General features: G+C 37.6%; 2 long non-coding RNA genes across 5 annotated transcripts in view, besides 4 other annotated features; both read left to right on the top strand.

The window, feature by feature from the left end:
• Nucleotides 1-17,807, top strand: part of G2E3-AS1 (G2E3 antisense RNA 1) — a 139,366-nt gene that overhangs the window by 87,016 nt on the left and 34,543 nt on the right. The gene's annotated exons all lie outside the window — the stretch shown is intronic.
• Nucleotides 15,493-16,037: an enhancer, noted in NCBI's record as "NANOG-H3K27ac-H3K4me1 hESC enhancer chr14:30943511-30944055 (GRCh37/hg19 assembly coordinates)". NCBI's record gives its function as "activates a minimal SCP1, AML or CMV promoter by ChIP-STARR-seq in naive and primed H9 embryonic stem cells {active_cell/tissue: H9 hESC(naive and primed)}" and the evidence as "EXISTENCE:reporter gene assay evidence [ECO:0000049][PMID:30033119]".
• Nucleotides 15,493-16,728: a biological region, named in NCBI's record as "MED14-independent group 3 enhancer GRCh37_chr14:30942820-30944019".
• Nucleotides 15,529-16,728: an enhancer, noted in NCBI's record as "MED14-independent group 3 enhancer chr14:30942820-30944019 (GRCh37/hg19 assembly coordinates)". NCBI's record gives its function as "activates an origin of replication core promoter dependent on BRD2, BRD4, P300/CBP and CDK7 cofactors, and independent of MED14, by STARR-seq in HCT116 cells {active_cell/tissue: HCT116}" and the evidence as "EXISTENCE:reporter gene assay evidence [ECO:0000049][PMID:35650434]".
• Nucleotides 15,805-17,807, top strand: part of LOC112267868 (uncharacterized) — a 96,358-nt gene continuing 94,355 nt past the window's right edge. For 2 of the 4 annotated variants that reach the window (XR_943707.2, XR_007064107.1), the window contains exons 1-2: nucleotides 15,846-16,341; nucleotides 16,743-16,820. This is a non-coding gene — a long non-coding RNA (uncharacterized LOC112267868). Of the gene's footprint in view, nucleotides 16,342-16,742; nucleotides 16,821-17,807 lie in introns of all 4 variants that reach the window. The other 2 variants (XR_007064108.1, XR_007064106.1) reach the window with 2 other exon arrangements.
• Nucleotides 16,038-16,583: an enhancer, noted in NCBI's record as "NANOG-H3K27ac-H3K4me1 hESC enhancer chr14:30942965-30943510 (GRCh37/hg19 assembly coordinates)". NCBI's record gives its function as "activates a minimal SCP1, AML or CMV promoter by ChIP-STARR-seq in naive and primed H9 embryonic stem cells {active_cell/tissue: H9 hESC(naive and primed)}" and the evidence as "EXISTENCE:reporter gene assay evidence [ECO:0000049][PMID:30033119]".

Raw genomic sequence — 17,807 nt, 5'->3', positions numbered from 1 at the left:
TATTTGGTTCAAAGATTTTGGGCAAAGCCATCTCCTGAAGACTGTCTACTTTTGTAGGGTTTCTGAGAATCTTTAGCTTGAGATTGCTGGTTGGGAGAGTCTTTTAGTGATTCATGGATGATTATTCCCTTTTTCATTGAGACACGTGAATCTAAGAATCAGTCCTTTGAAGTTTTACTGCTATGTTAGAACATGATGGAGTCTTTACTTTGGAGTTTAAGGGCTGTCTTTCTCTCATGTTTCTTCTAGGAATTAGGTCTCTAAGTTTTATGTTATGCAAGGATTGTCTAGGAAAATGTTGAAGAAGGGCTGCTCACAAATGTTGATGATGAGATTGAGTATATTGCATAAATCTCTTTCAGTATTTAGTTATGCCTGCTTGCAATAGTGTATAGCGTTAGAGATGATATTTTTAGATTCATGGGACAATATATCAATAATTTGTAAGGAGAGAGTCAGTGAATTCAAGGAGTTGATTTCATTGTCATTAAAGCCAATAAAAATACTTTAGGTCATGAAAGCTCAAATGTCTTAAGAACTATCCTAATTTGAACTGCAGAATTCCATTTATTCTTTCTGCTTTTCTAAAAGATTGGGAGTAATATGGACTGTGAAGTTTATAAGTAAGCAACAGAGCTTTGCAAAATTATTTAATATGAGTCCTAGTAAAATAGGCTGTCCTGTCACTTGAGATAAATGTTAGCATTCCCCCAAGTTGGGAACACAAAATCAAGTAATTTTTTGCTACCCTAAGAGCCACAACTCTCTGGTAAGGATTATTTCAATCCATCCCTAATATGTAAAGAATGACCAGAAGATATTCAAAACCCATTTCAGGAAGTTGTATGAAAATCATTTGGAGATGTCCGTAGAGAATAGGGGTTTGGGCTCTTGCATGTTCTATTTTTTTAGAACTATACCAGGATTGTGATAGTGACAAATAACTTATGCATCACTGGCATACTCAGAATTTTATTGATATTTTTCCCACTACTGTTAATTGAGTATAGCAGGCAATTTTGTCCTAATCATGCTGGGCAATTTAACATAAAAATTTTATAAAGTTTAGTTTTAGAACTTCTGGTGCCACCAGGGGATCATCCTGAGAGTTATCTTTGAACTCTTCAATGGATTCATCGTTTTTTTTGTTTACAGGGTTGAATTAGAGTCCAACATATTTATTTTTAAATTTTATTTTTAAAGAGCAGTTTTAGGTTCACAGTAAAATTGAGAGGAAGTACAGCAATTTTCCATATACTCCTGCCTGCACATATGCATAGCCTCCCCCATTATCAACGTCCATCACCAAAGAGTACATTTGTTGCAATTGATGAACCTACATTGTCACATCATAATCATTCGAAGTCCATATTTTACCTTAGAGTTCACATTCTATGGGTTTGGACAAATGTATAGTGACATATAGTCATCATTAAAGTATCATACAGACTATTTTCACTGCCCTAAAAAGACTCTGTGCTTCACCTACTCATCCCTTCGCCCCAGCCCTGGCAGCAACTGATCGTTTTACTGTTGCCATAGTTTTGCCTTTTCCAGAATGTCGTATAATTGGAATCATGCAGTATGTAGTCTTTTCAGATTGACCTCTTTCACTTAGTAATATGCATGTCTTTTGTAAGAAGCTTCCTGCATATCTTTTGTAGTTTGATACCTCATTTATTTTTATTGTTGAATAGTATTTTATCTTCTGAATGTACCACAGTTTGTTTACCCATTTATCTACTTGAAAGACATCTTGGTTGCTTCCAAGTTTTGACAGTTATGAATATATCTGCCATAAAGATCCATGTGTAAGTTTTGTATGAACATAAGTTTTCAACTCCTCTGGGCAGATATCAAGGAGTGCAATTGCTGCATGGTATGGTAAGAGTATGTTTAGTTTTATAAGAAACTGCCAAACTGTCTTCCAAAGTAGGCTGTACCATTTTGCATTCCTACCGGCAATGGATGAGCATTCCTGTTGCTCCATATCCCCACTAGCATTTGGTGGTGTCAGTTTCCTAGATATTGGCCATTCTAATAGGTGTGTAGTGGTATCTCATTGTTGCTTTAATTTGCACTTCCCTAATGAAATATGATGTGGAGCCTCTTTTCATATGCTTATTTGACATCTATACGTCTTTTTTTTTTCCTTTTTTTTTTTTTTTTGAGATGGAGTCTCACTCTGTCTCCCAGGCTGGAGTGCAGTGGTGCGATATCAGCTCACTGCAACCTCCGACTCCCTGGTTCAAGCTGTTCTCCTGCCTCAGCCTCCCGAGTAGCTGGGATTACAGGCACGCACCACAATGCCCAGCTAATTTTTTTGTGTTTTTAGTAGAAACGGGGTTTCACCATGTTGGCCAGGATGGTCTCGATCTCTTGATGTCGTGATCTGCCTCCCTCAGCCTCCCAAAGTGTTAGGATTACAGGCGTGAGCCACTGTGTCTGGCTTGATACCTATACATCTTTTTTGGTGATATGTCTGTTTGGGTATTTGGTTGATTTTAAAATTGGGTCATTTATTTTCTTATTGTTGAGTTTTAAGAGTTATTTTTTACATTTTAGATAACAATTCTTTATCATATGTGTCTCTTGCAAATATTTTCTCCTAGCTTGTGGCTTGTCTTTTCACTCTCTTGACCTTGTCTTTTGCAGAATAGAAGTTTTTAATTTTAATGAATTAACGTATCAATGCTTTCTTTCATGAATCTTGCCTTTGGTGTTGTATCTAAAAAGTCATCACTATACCCAAGGTCATCTAGCTGTTCTAAACATTCATTTTTTTTGCATGTGGCTGTCCAGTTTTTTCAGCATCATTTGTTGAGAAAATTGTCTTTTCTCTATTTTGTTGCTACTGCTCCTTTGTCAAAACTCAGTAGACTATATTTATGTGGGTCTATTTCTGGGCTCTCTATTATATATCACTGTGTGTCTATATCCACAACGTAAATTGCTGGGATTTTGATTGGGATTGCCTTGAATCTATAGATCAAGTTGGGAAGAACTAACATCTTGACAATATTGAGTTTTCCTACCCATGAACATGGACTATCTCTCAATTTATTTAGTTCTTTGATTTTGTTCATCAGAGTTTTATAGTTTTCCTCATATAGATCTGTACATTTTTTTTAGGTTTATACCTAATTGTTTCATTTTGGGGGAATGTTAATGTAAATAGTATTGTGTTTTTATTTCAAATTCCATTTATTCATTGCTGCTACACAAGGGTATACCAAAGTTGCTGAATAGCACAGTTGCTGGATACTTTTGCACAGTACCCTTTCAGGAACTGGAGGCTTGAGTCAAATGTATTTTCACACGAAATGCTTTTGGGTGAGTCTCCAAAAAAACTTTCTCCAACATCTACTGCTTTTATCAACAACTGGGTTACCTATGAAATTTAGGGTCCTTAAGTTACTCTTAGGGTCTTCCCATTTTATTGTTTGCATAAGTTTTTTTGCATATAAGGTTCTCATAAAATGTGAACCAACTGCTATAGATTTGGGAGCTCTGGAGTTTATGTTCCTAAAATCATACTAAATTCTTCTATAAATTTCTATCTGTATTAGTTCATTTTCACACTGCTGTAAAGATACTGCCTGAGACAGGGTAATTTATAAACAAAAGAGGTTTAATTGACTCACAGTTCTGCATGGCTGGGGAGGCCTCAGGAAACATACGATCATGGCAGAAGGCAAAAGGGAAGCAAGGTACATCTTACGTGGTGGCAGGCAAAAGAGAAGAGCAAAGTGGGAACTACCAAACACTTTTAAAACCATCAGCTCTCATGAGAACTCACTCACTAACCCAAGAACAGCATGGAGGAAACCATCCCAATGATCCAATTGCCTCCCACCTTGTCCCTCCCTCCACACCTGGGGATTACAATTCGAGAAGAGATCTGGGTGGGGACACAGAGCCAAACCATATCACTCCCTATCTTATCTAGACTCTGGGAATTCTTTAACAGTGATGCTACACTTAAATGATACCAGAACTTATATTCAACCATTAGGGGTTTTTCTGTTCTGCAGGATGTTTAATTTTAAGAGTTAATTTAGCTTTGGGTGCTACTGGGTGGCTAGAAAGCAAGGGAGGCAGATCAGGAGGAGTTATAGGAACAGAAGGAAATGTAGAAGCATAAGATGGATAAGAATAGTAAAGGTTATTCACTTCAAATCAAGATTTGGGGTATCTTGAAGAGAGCTAGTTTTAATTTTTTCAAGTTTTTATTTTCTCTTGGCCAAAGAATCTCTAATAAAGCAATTTTGCCATCTGAATTTCTTTGGCATACTTCCTCATGTCAATAAAACCATGCAGACCACTGGTACTGTTTTTTTTTTTTTGTTCTATGATACCCTTCAAATGAATAATTTTGTTTATATCTAAGCTCACCAACATGGCTACTATAAATTCTATATTGTGAAATTATGTTACTTGGAAAGATAAGCAGAAGAATTTGAGATGTGGCATAAATACACATGAGAAGGAGGAGTCCAGCTCAGGGTAGGTAGGGACATAGATTTAGACAGAGACTAAGCTATGGGGGTCTGGGAACAGTCTGCTCATGCACTTTGTGAATTGGATCTCTAGCCTAATGGTTGTGCCATCTCCAGCTGCAAACTCAACTTATTTGTAGTTCCCAGTGGATGAAAAGATTTACAGAGGAAATGTCTCTCAGAGCCAGAATCTCAGGGACAACTCAGGACAGAGGAAAGGTCTCATGATGTTTTGATAATTGACCCAGGACAGAGTTTGCCCAAAAGACACCAGTCTGAGGAGAAACCTTTTGAAAATCTCGATTTCCAGAATGGCTCAATGGTCTTATCACCGGCCTATCATTGGGAAGTTCTCTTCCCAATGAACTTCCTCTCACAGATGCACAACAAGGATAAAAAATAAGGGCAGATAGAATTAAATAGTAATATTGTTAGTAATTGTCAGGTTTTCACTAAGGATAAAAGTTTTGTAAATCTTATCAGATAATAAAATAATTCCTAAAAAAGAATTTTGTATTTTAGGAGTCAAAATAAACTCATCATGTGGGGAGGTTAAAAAATAAAATAAAATGAATTGAAGCTCAAACCTAAAGTAGACTTACCTCACTACTATTGTCATGGAGATATCTGAGGAAGAGTTTCAAGTGGCCTTTGAGGAACACTCTGTTCTTTGTGGAGAGCCACTGCAGGGAGCAGGTCTTGGTCATACACTGGGGGAAACTCCAAGACTGCTGAATGCTAGCTTCCTGAAAATACCATCAAAATACCCTGCTGATAAAACAAAGCCAAGCTTATTGTTTACCGCAGTATGAGAGATCACTACCTTGACAATCTTAGTGACATCTCTGAGAAGGAAGAGTAACAGTAGCATATTTATGAAGTTTTGAGAATTTGAGTTAAAATTCATCTTATAATGCTTAAGATTAGGCAGATTCATGATATGATAGTTTCGAATGTGAGGGTTTCAAATCAAATCTTAAAGAGTAAACTGTCATTTGAGGAGCTTAAGCTATCGATTATCTTGAGAAATGGGTATTTACTCTAATAACGGTAAGTTGAGTAGTCTAGTGGTCAGATAAATGAAATTTTGGGAAGTTCCTGAAACAAGAAATGGTTATTGCAATTTTAATCTTTCTTGGCAAGAACTTCCTACAATAGTAAATTTATGTTAATGCAGACAGTTGAATAGTAACATCATGTTGTAGACAGTAAGTTGTGGAGATGGTTTCAGTTGTCAATACTTCCCCCCAACATACACACATTTTATTTCCTGTTGAAACTTTGGAAATTTAGGTTCAGGAGCCATATGAAATGTTGCATCAGTTTGCAAAGTTCTTTCTGTTTGCGGTGACACTTTTTCGCTTAGTTGACTTAGAATTTGCTTTATTCTGTTGTCAGTTGGGATTTATTTTGTAAAATGAAATTAAAATGCCAACAGAGAATTTAAAGTGCATAATGGCCTCTAAAAACGAGAACATTTAGCCACAATCAACATAACTTTTTCCATTTTAAGTCATGGTCAAAATTGGAAAGAAAAATTTACAAGTATGATTTCTTTTTTTTTCCTCCCAGCAGGCATTATTAAATATAGAAAGCTTAAAATTTCAGAAACAGTCTATGTTAACATGATTTAAATAAAATCTTCTGTTAAGATCATTTAAAAAAATAGAAATCTGGGGTAATCTTAGTGCTATATTTTCATTGTACACTTTTAAAAAATATTCTTTTGCCACATTCAAAATCAGTTAAAAAATTGCAGAGCATACTTATTTTTTGCTTCCAGATGATTTGTTGAAAATAACATCTTTTGATTTTAAAAGCAAAGAAATTCTTATTATAACATTTTAGAAAATTTAGAAAAGTACAAATAAGAAAGGAAAATTTGTACAAATTACTACTTTCTAGAGACAGTCACTGTATTCATTTTCTAGGCTGTGTGATAAATCAACACAAACTTAGCAGCTTAAAACAACAGCACACGTTGATTATTTCACAGTTTCTGCAGGTCAGAATTCCTGGGACACTATAACTGAATAATTCTGTGCTTCTAGATCGCACCAGGCTGCAGTCAACGTGTTGACTGTGTTGTGTTATTATCTGGAGGCTTGTCTAGGAAAAAATATGCTTCCAAACTCATTCAGGTTGTTGGCAGAATTCACTTCTCTGCAGCTGTGTGACTGAGGGCTCTGTTTTCTTACTGACCACTGGCAGGGAAGGCCACAGTTCCTTGCCACATGACAGCTTGAATTTTCAAGCCAGTATAATAATCTCTCTCTCCAGTCTGCATCCATCACCTTGCCATATTCTATTGGTTAGAAGCAAGTCATCAGTTCTGTCTTCACTCAAGGGTAGGGGATTATACAAGGGCCTGACTCGTCGAAGGTCAGTTTCTGGTGTTCACCACAGCCACTTTATTTTTCATGGGGAGATATACCTTTCCATGCTTTTTCCATGATTGCATAAATGCAGTATATTATAAATATAGTATAATTGTTTATTTTGTCAACATTCTTTAAAAATGTGTTTTTAAATTTAATATATGTATATATAGTACATACATATAGCACATGCATATATGCTGTAATTATAATAATGCTATAATTTGTAATAAAATGTATACTAATTTATAGTAGTAAAATTTGTAATAGAAAAACTGCATCAAATCTGAATGCCCAATAAGAGGAGACTGCTTATGTAACTTTTAATTTTAAATTTCCTCTTACTGTAGATTAAGATTATTTGTAGTTTTTAACTATTATATACAATTCTTCATAAAAATTTGCATATAAATCCTTGTTTTTTTTTTTATAAATGCCTTTAGGATAAAAACCTGTAGTAACAAAATTACTAGGTCAAATGGCAAGACGTCTTAAAGGCTTTGAACTTATAGTCCCAAATTAACTACTGGAATGGCGGTACCAATTTAAATTCCTCCCACTCTTCAACATTTTATTAGAGGAGTTTGATTAGAGGAGAAATAGTATCTAGTTTTAATTTTTCTTTCTTTCCCTATAAATGAGCTAGACATTTTCCATATGATTTCATCCTTATTTATATTTATTCTTTAAAGATTACTGTTCATTTGCTAATTTTTCTACTAGTATGTAGTAATATTTTATGAAGAAAAAAATTAAGAGATGTGAGAAGCATTTAAGTTTTGTGTGTTGCAAGTGTAAATCCTTCAAAATAAGCGTTAAAATATATAGATAATATCAGTGAATACTAGCACCATATAACATTGCCCACTGAAACACTAAAAAGTACAAAAGTTCACAACATATTGTAAGGGAAATTCATCAAGAATCTGCTCTGTTATCTTGGAGGTACCAGACATACCATATGCTGTGTCTAGGAGTTGCTATGGCAACTACTTTTAAAATTTAAGAACAGAGTAAATTGTTGCCTAAAATCTCCATAACTTAGTGAGTCAATTAAGATCTTGTCAGAGCCCTGCATTCCTTTCACTACCTGGTAATGCTTTATTTCTTGCATGTAATGTCTCTGGGTCAGAGAAGAATGTGTTTATTTCTAGCTATTTAAGATCCTGGAGAGGATGCTGTTCATTTAGTATTTTTATGATTAGTTAATGGATCATTGTTAAGGGAGATCTCAAGAAATAGCCACACAGAAGATGGGTAGATTTGAGCTTGAAAGTGTAAAGTTGAGAGAAGTTTTTAGAGCCATGACCTCATATAAAGACATGGAAGTAGAGAGACACGGCCACAATCTTTTGGAGTTAGAAGGACTGGAATGAGAAGCTACATTTCTTGCCTCCCATTGTATCACCACACTGTAGTATTTTCACAGTTTTGTCACTTTTTAGAAAATTAAGTTATATTTTTATCCAGGTGATACATTAACCCATCAATGCCCCCAAAGTGAACTCAAAGTTTTATAATAAAATGATCAGTTTCTGACCCTTTCTCACCTCCTGCCAACCTTAATTTATCAAATTTTGACATTTACCATTTTATCATAATGGTAATGTAACCACACAATGGGTTTTCCTTGCCTGCCGCCTAGACTGACAGGGGAATTGCAATACAGAAAGAGTTTAATTTACGCAAGCTGGCAGTATGGGAGACTGGAGTTTTATTATTACTCAAATCAGTCTTCCTGAAAACTCGGGATGGGGGTTTTTGAGGATAATTTTGTGGGTAGGGGCCAGTGAGTTGGGAGTGGTGCTTGGTTTGATCAGAGATGAAATCACAGGGAGTCAAAGCTGTCCTCTCGTATTGAGCCGGTTCCTGGGTGGGGACCATAAGACCAGATGAGCCAGTTTATTGATCTGGGTGGTGCCAGCTGATCCATCAAGTGCAGGGGCTGCAAAATATCTCAAGCACTGTTCTTAGGTTTTACAATAGTGATGTTATCCCCCAGGAACATTTTGGGATGTCAGAGTCTTGCAGCCTTCAGCTGCATGACTTCTAAACCATAATTTCTAATCTTGTGGCTCATTTGTTAGTTCTGCAAAGACAGTCTAGTCCCCAGGTAGGAAGGGAGTTTGTTTTGGGAAAGGGTTGTTAATCGTTTTTGTTTCAAAGTTAAACTATAAGCTAAGTTCCTCCCCAAATTAGTTCGGCCTATGCCCAGGAATGAACAAGGGCAGCTTAGAGGTTAGAAGCAAGATAAAGTTGGTTAGGTTAGGTCTCTTTCACTGTAATAATTTTCTCAGTTATAATTATGCAACAGTGATTTCAGTAATAGGGGTTTTAAATATTTTATGCTCTCCTCTGCCCTCTTCTCTCTCATATTCTGAAAAAATATATATATATTAGTGTTTAATTCAATAATCAAATTTGTGAAATCATGATCTTGTAAAATATTTTTGACTGTAAGAAGCAAGTAGATTCCTTTCTCATGCAACTTTTTGTTTTCCCTGGAGTTAATACTTGTCTCTTTTAAAATTTTCTAATTTCTATGTACTTTTCACTATATTTTTTGGTCATATAGTATCATTTTTTTTTTTAAATAGTCAAACACAATTTTAAGCACTACGACATTTTAAACTCTTACCCTGAGACATTCCTCCTGAAGCCATTGTTCTTCCTCTTGCTTCCAGTTGGACTAGTTGCTTTCCCGGCTGCTACATAGCTGTCAATCTGGATTTCCCTTCATTGTCCTCATGTGTTGAAGTTCCTGCTTTTTGAAATCCATGTCTTGCTCTTTCTCCCTCATGTTGCTGAAGTACATCCTCCAGTAGCTTCCTAGAAAACAGCATATGAGAGACCAAAATATTTGTAAATTCTTGCATATTTGAATGGATTTAATCTTACATTTGGCTGATAGTTTGAATAAGTATACAATTATAAGTTAAAAATAATTTTCCCTCAGAATTTTGAAGGCCTTGCTGCACTATTTTCTAGTATTCATATGCTTCTGAAGAGCATTCTCTTTACCCTGGTGTTCTGCAATTTCATGACGATACCTTAGTGTGGCTCTTCTTCATTCATTATGGGGGTCCTCTTCTCTAGATATTTATGTTTTTCAGTTCTGAGAACATGTCTTGTGTTATATTTTTGAGAATTTCCTCCCCTTGGTTTTCTTTGTTCCCCCTGTAATACTTTATTGAAGATTTACCCAAACTGATTTTCCTACCCTACAATTAAAAATTAAAAATTTGGCTTAATTCCCAAGAAATCCTTCTCTGAATATTCTCTGACTTCCCTCTTTTCATACCCTTCTATTCTTCTATTCTTTTTTCATGAATATACAACCTTCTTTTATTTTTTTTTTAAATTCTCTGTGTTGACTTCTTTTTTTTATTTATTTTTTATTTATTTATTTTTATTATTATACTTTAAGTTTTAGGGTACATGTGCACATTGTGCAGGTTAGTTACGTATGTATACATGTGCCATGCTGGTGCGCTGCACCCACTAACTCATCATCTAGCATTAGGTATATCTCCCAATGCTATCCCTCCCCCCTCCCCCCACCCCACAACAGTCCCCAGAGTGTGATGTTCCCCTTCCTGTGTCCAGGTGATCTCATTGTTCAATTCCCACCTATGAGTGAGAATATGCAGTGTTTGGTTTTTTGTTCTTGCGATAGTTTACTGAGAATGATGATTTCCAATTTCATCCATGTCCCTACAAAGGACATGAACTCATCATTTTTTATGGCTGCATAGTATTCCATGGTGTATATGTGCCACATTTTCTTAATCCAGTCTATCATTGCTGGACATTTGGGTTGGTTCCAAGTCTTTGCTATTGTGAATAATGCCGCAATAAACATACGTGTACATGTGTCTTTATAGTAGCATGATTTATAGTCCTTTGGGTATATACCCAGTAAAGGGATGGCTGGGTCAAATGGTATTTCTAGTTCTAGATCCCTGAGGAATCACCACACTGACTTCCACACTGGTTGAACTAGTTTACAGTCCCACCAACAGTGTAAAAGTGTCCCTATTTCTCCACATCCTCTCCAGCACCTGTTGTTTCCTGACTTTTTAATGATTGCCATTCTAACTGGTGTGAGATGATATCTCATTGTGGTTTTGATTTGCATTTCTCTGATGGCCAGTGATGATGAACATTTTTTCATGTGTTTTTTGGCTGCATAAATGTCTTCTTTTGAGAAGTGTCTGTTCATGTCCTTCGCTCACTTTTTGATGGGCTGTTTGTTTTTTTCTTGTAAATTTGTTGGAGTTCATTGTAGATTCTGGATATTAGCCCTTTGTCAGATGAGTAGGTTGCGAAAATTTTCTCCCATTTTGTAGGTTACCTGTTCACTCTGATGGTAGTTTCTTTTGCTGTGCAGAAGCTCTTTAGTTTAATTAGATCCCATTTGTCAATTTTGGCTTTTGTTGCCATTGCTTTTGGTGTTTTAGACATGAAGTCCTTGCCCATGCCTATGTCCTGAATGGTAATGCCTAGGTTTTCTTCTAGGGTTTTTATGGTTTTAGGTCTAACATTTAAGTCTTTAATCCATCTTGAATTGATTTTTGTATAAGGTGTAAGGAAGGGATCCAGTTTCAGCTTTCTACATATGGCCAGCCAGTTTTCCCAGCACCATTTATTAAATAGGGAATCCTTTCCCCATTGCTTGTTTTTCTCAGGTTTGTCAAAGATCAGATAGTTGTAGATATGTGGCGTTATTTCTGAGGGCTCTGTTCTGTTCCATTGATCTATATCTCTGTTTTGGTACCAGTACCGTGCTGTTTTGGTTACTGTAGCCTTGTCGTATAGTTTGAAGTCAGGTAGTGTGATGCCTCCAGCTTTGTTCTTTTGGCTTAGGATTGACTTGGCGATGCAGGCTCTTTTTTGGTTCCATATGAACTTTAAAGTAGTTTTTTCCAATTCTGTGAAGAAAGTCATTGGTAGCTTGATGGGGATGGCATTGAACCTATAAATTACCTTGGGCAGTATGACCATTTTCACGATATTGATTCTTCCTACCCATGAGCATGGAATGTTCTTCCATTTGTTTGTATCCTCTTTTATTTCCTTGAGCAGTGGTTTGTAGTTCTCCTTGAAGAGGTCCTTCACATCCCTTGTAAGTTGGATTCCTAGGTATTTTATTCTCTTTGAAGCAATTGTGAATGGGAGTTCACTCATGATTTGGCTCTCTGTTTGTCTGTTGTTGGTGTATAAGAATGCTTGTGATTTTTGTACATTGATTTTGTATCCTGAGACTTTGCTGAAGTTGCTTATCAGCTTGAGGAGATTTTGGGCTGAGATGATGGGGTTTTCTAGATATACAATCATGTCATCTGCAAAGAGGGACAATTTGACTTCCTCTTTTCCTAATTGAATACCCTTTATTTCCTTCTCCTGCCTGATTGCCCTGGCCAGAACTTCCAACACTGTGTTGAATAGGAGTGGTGAGAGAGGACATCCCTGTCTTGTGCCAGTTTTCAAAGGGAATGCTTCCAGTTTTTGTCCATTCAGTATGATATTGGCTGTGGGGTTGTCATAGATAGCTCTTATTATTTTGAAATACGTCCCATCAATACCTAATTTATTGAGAGTTTTTAGCATGAAGGGTTGTTGAATTTTGTCAAAGGCCTTTTCTGCATCTATTGAGATAATCATGTGGTTTTTGTCTTTGGCTCTGTTTATATGCTGGATTACATTTATTGATTTGCATATATTGAACCAGCCTTGCATCCCAGGGATGAAGCCCACTTGATCATGGTGGATAAGCTTTTTGATGTGCTGCTGGATTCGTTTTGCCAGTATTTTATTGAGGATTTTTGCATCAATGTTCATCAAGGATATTGGTCTAAAATTCTCTTTTTTGGTTGTGTCTCTGCCTGGCTTTGGTATCAGGATGATGCTGGCCTCATAAAATGAGTTAGGGAGGATTCCCTCTTTTTCTATTGATTGGAATAGTTTCAGAAGGAATGGTACCAGTTCCTCCTTGTACCTCTGGTAGAATTCGGCTGTGAATCCATCTGGTCCTGGACTCTTTTTGGTTGGTAAGCTATTGATTATTGCCACAATTTCAGATCCTGTTATTGGTCTATTCAGAGATTCAACTTCTTCCTGGTTTAGTCTTGGGAGAGTGTATGTGTCGAGGAATTTATCCATTTCTTCTAAATTTTCTAGTTTATTTGCGTAGAGGTGTTTATAGTATTCTCTGATGGTAGTTTGTATTTCTGTGGGATCGGTAGTGATATCCCCTTTATCATTTTTTATTGCATCTATTTGATTCTTCTCTCTTTTTTTCTTTATTAGTCTTGCTAGCGGTCTATCAATTTTGTTGATCCTTTCAAAAAACCAGCTCCTGGATTCATTAATTTTTTGAAGGGTTTTTTTGTGTCTCTATTTCCTTCAGTTCTGCTCTGATTTTAGTTATTTCTTGCCTTCTGCCAGCTTTTGAATGTGTTTGCTCTTGCTTTTCTAGTTCTTTTAATTGTGATGTTAGGGTGTCAATTTTGGATCTTTCCTGCTTTCTCTTGTGGGCATTTAGTGCTATAAATTTCCCTCTACACACTGCTTTGAATGTTTCCCAGAGATTCTGGTATGTTGTGTCTTTGTTCTCATTGGTTTCAAAGAACATCTTTATTTCTGCCTTCATTTCATTATGTACCCAGTAGTCATTCAGGAGCAGGTTGTTCAGTTTCCATGTAGTTGAGTGGTTTTGAGTGAGATTCTTAATCCTGAGTTCTAGTTTGATTGCACTGTGGTCTGACAGATAGTTCGTTATAATTTCTGTTCTTTTACATTTGCTGAGGAGAGCTTTACTTCCAAGTATGTGGTCAATTTTGGAATAGGTGTGGTGTGGTGCTGAAAAAAATGTATATTCTGTTGATTTGGGGTGAAGAGTTCTGTAGATGTCTATTAGGTCTGCTTGGTGCAGAGCTGAGTTCAATTCCTGGGTATCCTTGTTGACTTTCTGTCTCGTTGATCTGTCTAATGTTGACAGTGGTGTGTTAAAGTCTCCCATTATCAATGTGTGGGAGTCTAAGTCTCTTTATAGGTCACTCAGGACTTGCTTTATGAATCTGGGTGCTCCTGTATTGGGTGCATATATATTTAGGATAGTTAGCTCTTCTTGTTGAATTGATCCCTTTACCATTATGTAATGGCCTTCTTTGTCTCTTTTGATCTTTGTTGGTTTAAAGTCTGTTTTATCAGAGACTAGGATTGCAACCCCTGCCTTTTTGTGTTTTCCATTTGCTTGGTAGATCTTCCTCCATCCTTTTATTTTGAGCCTATGTGTGTCTTTGCACGTGAGATGGGTTTCCTGAATACAGCACACTGATGGGTCTTGACTCTTTATCCAATTTGCCAGTCTGTGTCTTTTAATTGGAGCATTTAGTCCATTTACATTTAAAGTTAATATTGTTATGTGTGAATTTGATCCTGTCATTATGATGTTAGCTGGTGATTTTGCTCGTTAGTTGATGCAGTTTCTTCCTAGTCTCGATGGTCTTTACATTTTGGCATGATTTTGCAGCGGCTGGTACCGGTTGTTTCTTTCCATGTTTAGTGCTTCCTTCAGGAGCTCTTTTAGGGCAGGTCTGGTGGTGACAAAATCTCTCAGCATTTGCTAGTCTGTAAAGCATTTTATTTCTCCTTCACTGATGAAGCTTAGTTTGGCTGGATATGAAATTCTGGGTTGAAAATTCTTTTCTTAAAGAATGTTGAATATTGGCCCCCACTCTCTTCTGGCTTGTAGGGTTTCTGCCGAGAGATCCGCTGTTAGTCTGATGGGCTTCCCTTTGAGGGTGACCCGACCTTTCTCTCTGGCTGCCCTTAACATTTTTTCCTTCATTTCAACTTTGGTGAATCTGACAATTATGTGTCTTGGAGTTGCTCTTCTCGAGGAGTATCTTTGTGGCGTTCTCTGTATTTCCTGAATCTGAACGTTGGCCTGCCTTGCTAGATTGGGGAAGTTCTCCTGGATAATATCCTGCAGAGTGTTTTCCAACTTGGTTCCATTCTCCCCATCACTTTCAGGTACACCAATCAGATGTAGATTTGGTCTTTTCACATAGTCCCATATTTCTTGGAGGCTTTGCTCGTTTCTTTTTATTCTTTTTTCTCTAAACTTCCCTTCTTGCTTCATTTCATCTTCCATTGCTGATACCCTTTCTTCCAGTTGATCGCATCGGCTCCTGAGGCTTCTACATTCTTCACGTAGTTCTCGAGCCTTGGTCTTCAGCTCCATCAGCTCCTTTAAGCACTTCTCTGTATTGGTTATTCTAGTTATACATTCTTCTAAATTTTTTTCAAAGTTTTCAACTTCTTTGCCTTTGGTTTGAATGTCCTCCCATAGCTCAGAGTAATTTGATCGTCTGAAGCCTTCTTCTCTCAGCTCGTCAAAGTCATTCTCCGTCCAGCTTTGTTCCGTTGCTGGTGAGGAACTGCATTCCTTTGGAGGAGGAGAGGCACTCTGCTTTTTAGAGTTTCCAGTTTTTCTGTTCTGTTTTTTCCCCATCTTTGTGGTTTTATCTACTTTTGGTCTTTGATGATGGTGATGTACAGATGGGTTTTTGGTGTGGATGTCCTTTCTGTTTGTTAGTTTTCCTTCTAACAGACAGGACCCTCAGCTGCAGGTCTGTTGGAGTACCCTGCTGTGTGAGGTGTCAGTGTGCCCCTGCTTGGGGGTGCCTCCCAGTTAGGCTGCTCGGTGGTCAGGGGTCAGGGACCCACTTGAGGAGGCAGTCTGCCCGTTCTCAGATCTCCAGCTGTGTGCTGGGAGAACCACTGCTCTCTTCAAAGCTGTCAGACAGGGACATTTAAGTCGGCAGAGGTTACTGCTGTCTTTTTGTTTGTCTGTGCCCTGCCCCCAGAGGTGGAGCCTACAGAGGCAGGCAGGCCTCCTTGAGCTGTGGTGGGCTCCACCCAGTTCGAGCTTCCTGGCTGCTTTGTTTACCTAAGCAAGCCTGGGCAATGGTGGGCGCCCCTCCCCCAGCCTCGCTGCCGCCTTGCAGTTTGATCTCAGACTGCTGTGCTAGCAATCAGCGAGATTCCGTGGGCGTAGGACCCTCTGAGCCAGGTGCGGGATATAATCTCGCGGTGCGCCGTTTTTTAAGCCCGTCGGAAAAGCGCAGTATTCGGGTGGGAGCGAGCCGATTTTCCAGGTGCCGTCCGTCACCCCTTTCTTTGACTAGGAAAGGGAACTCCCTGACCCCTTGCGCTTCCGGAGTGAGGCAATGCCTCGCCCTGCTTCGGCTCGCGCACGGTGCACGCACCCACTGACCTGCGCCCACTGTGTGGCACTCCCTAGTGAGATGAACCCGGTACCTCAGATGGAAATGCAGAAATCACCCGTCTTCTGCGTGGCTCACGCTGGGAGCTGTAGACCGGAGCTGTTCCTATTCGGCCATCTTGGCTCCTGGATCTCTGTGTCAACCTTCTTTTATTTTTAAAAGATATTCACTGTAAGTTTTTAAAGGAGTTCTTTTTTCTTTGGCTATATGTTATGTGCATTGTCTCTCTTTGCCTCAAATTCTTTTTTTTATCATTAGAAACTTCAAATATACTTCTTAAAGATAAAAATTATACAATTATGAGATTTAAGTTCATCTATTCTACCATATTTAATATTATGACAGACAAATTCTAAGCTACTGAAATATGTTCAAGAAAGTTCTTTATAAAGTTACTAAATGGCGGTGATTATGCATTTTGCTTTTTTATTTCCCACAGTACATACATGTAAATAAAACTTTTAGAGTGCTTATAAATGTAGAAAACTATTGTATCAGAAATTGCTTAGTCAATTTTCTAGTAACTTGTACTCTCCGTGTATCATCTAGTTTTTTAAATCTTTCTTCTCTAGGTCTCTTACTAAAGCTTCCTGTTCAAAGTCTGGCTGAGAATTTTTGCTGCTTCTTTCCCTACCTCCTCATTTCCGAAGGTAATTCCCTGGTCAATCTCTCTTTCTAATAAATTATATATATAATATCTAATGAAAAGGTCAAGGCAAGCCAGGTAACAAATCTTCATATAATTGAATATGAAAAGGAATATTTCTTATAGGAGTCATTGTAATAAAACCTTGTTAGGGTAATTTTAAATATAGAAATACGTGTCTTCAGTAAGTCTGGAGAATGAACAGATTGATTGTGCCTTATATCACACAAAACGGGAAAACTTATAGTGCAAATTTTATTTTTTTATTTTTGGCGCAGTGAAGTTCTAATAAAAAACCAAAGTATTGTAAAATAATATGTTCCTACACTGGTAATCAAAGAAAGAATAGTTTATAGTAGTGGCCATCACTTCTGATTTGTTTTTCTAGCACTTGAAATTAACAGTTTGAATCTTATCTTTAACAGGATTAAATTTAACAACAAATATTTTGAAACTGGTTATTTAGTCCTTTGATTGTTATTTTAAAACTTTCTAGAGGCGCGGTGGCTCATGCCTGTAATCCCAGGACTTTGGGAGGCCGAGGCAGGCAGATCACGAGGTCAGGAGCTCGAGACCATCCTGGCTAACATGGTGAAACCCCGTCTCTACTAAAAATACAAAAAATTAGCTGGGCGTGGTGGTGGGCGCCTGTAGTCCTAGCTACACGGGAGGCTGAGGCAGGAGAATGGCAGGAACCCAGGAGGCGGAGCTTGCAGTGAGCCGAGATTGTGCCACTGTACTCTAGCCTGGGCGACAGTGTGAGACTCCGTCTCAGAAAAAAAAAAAAAAGAAAGAAAGCAGAGACCAATTTCCCTTTTCTGTCATTAGTTGTTTTGGTATGTTTACAACTGACTCCTTTGTAAATGTGTGATGTTAAGGGTTTGGTTTTATTTTGAACTCTATTTAAAAATTGAACTGCATTAGTCTTTACCACTTTTTTTTGGTTTGATCAATGCAAAAGCTGCACCTTTCCCAGTTGTAGCTGATCTCT

The sequence above is a fragment of the Homo sapiens genome, chromosome 14, assembly GCF_000001405.40.
Source record: "Homo sapiens chromosome 14, GRCh38.p14 Primary Assembly".
In the NCBI taxonomy this organism is placed as follows: Eukaryota; Metazoa; Chordata; class Mammalia; order Primates; family Hominidae; genus Homo; species Homo sapiens.
This window is presented reverse-complemented; position numbering and strand designations above follow the sequence as displayed.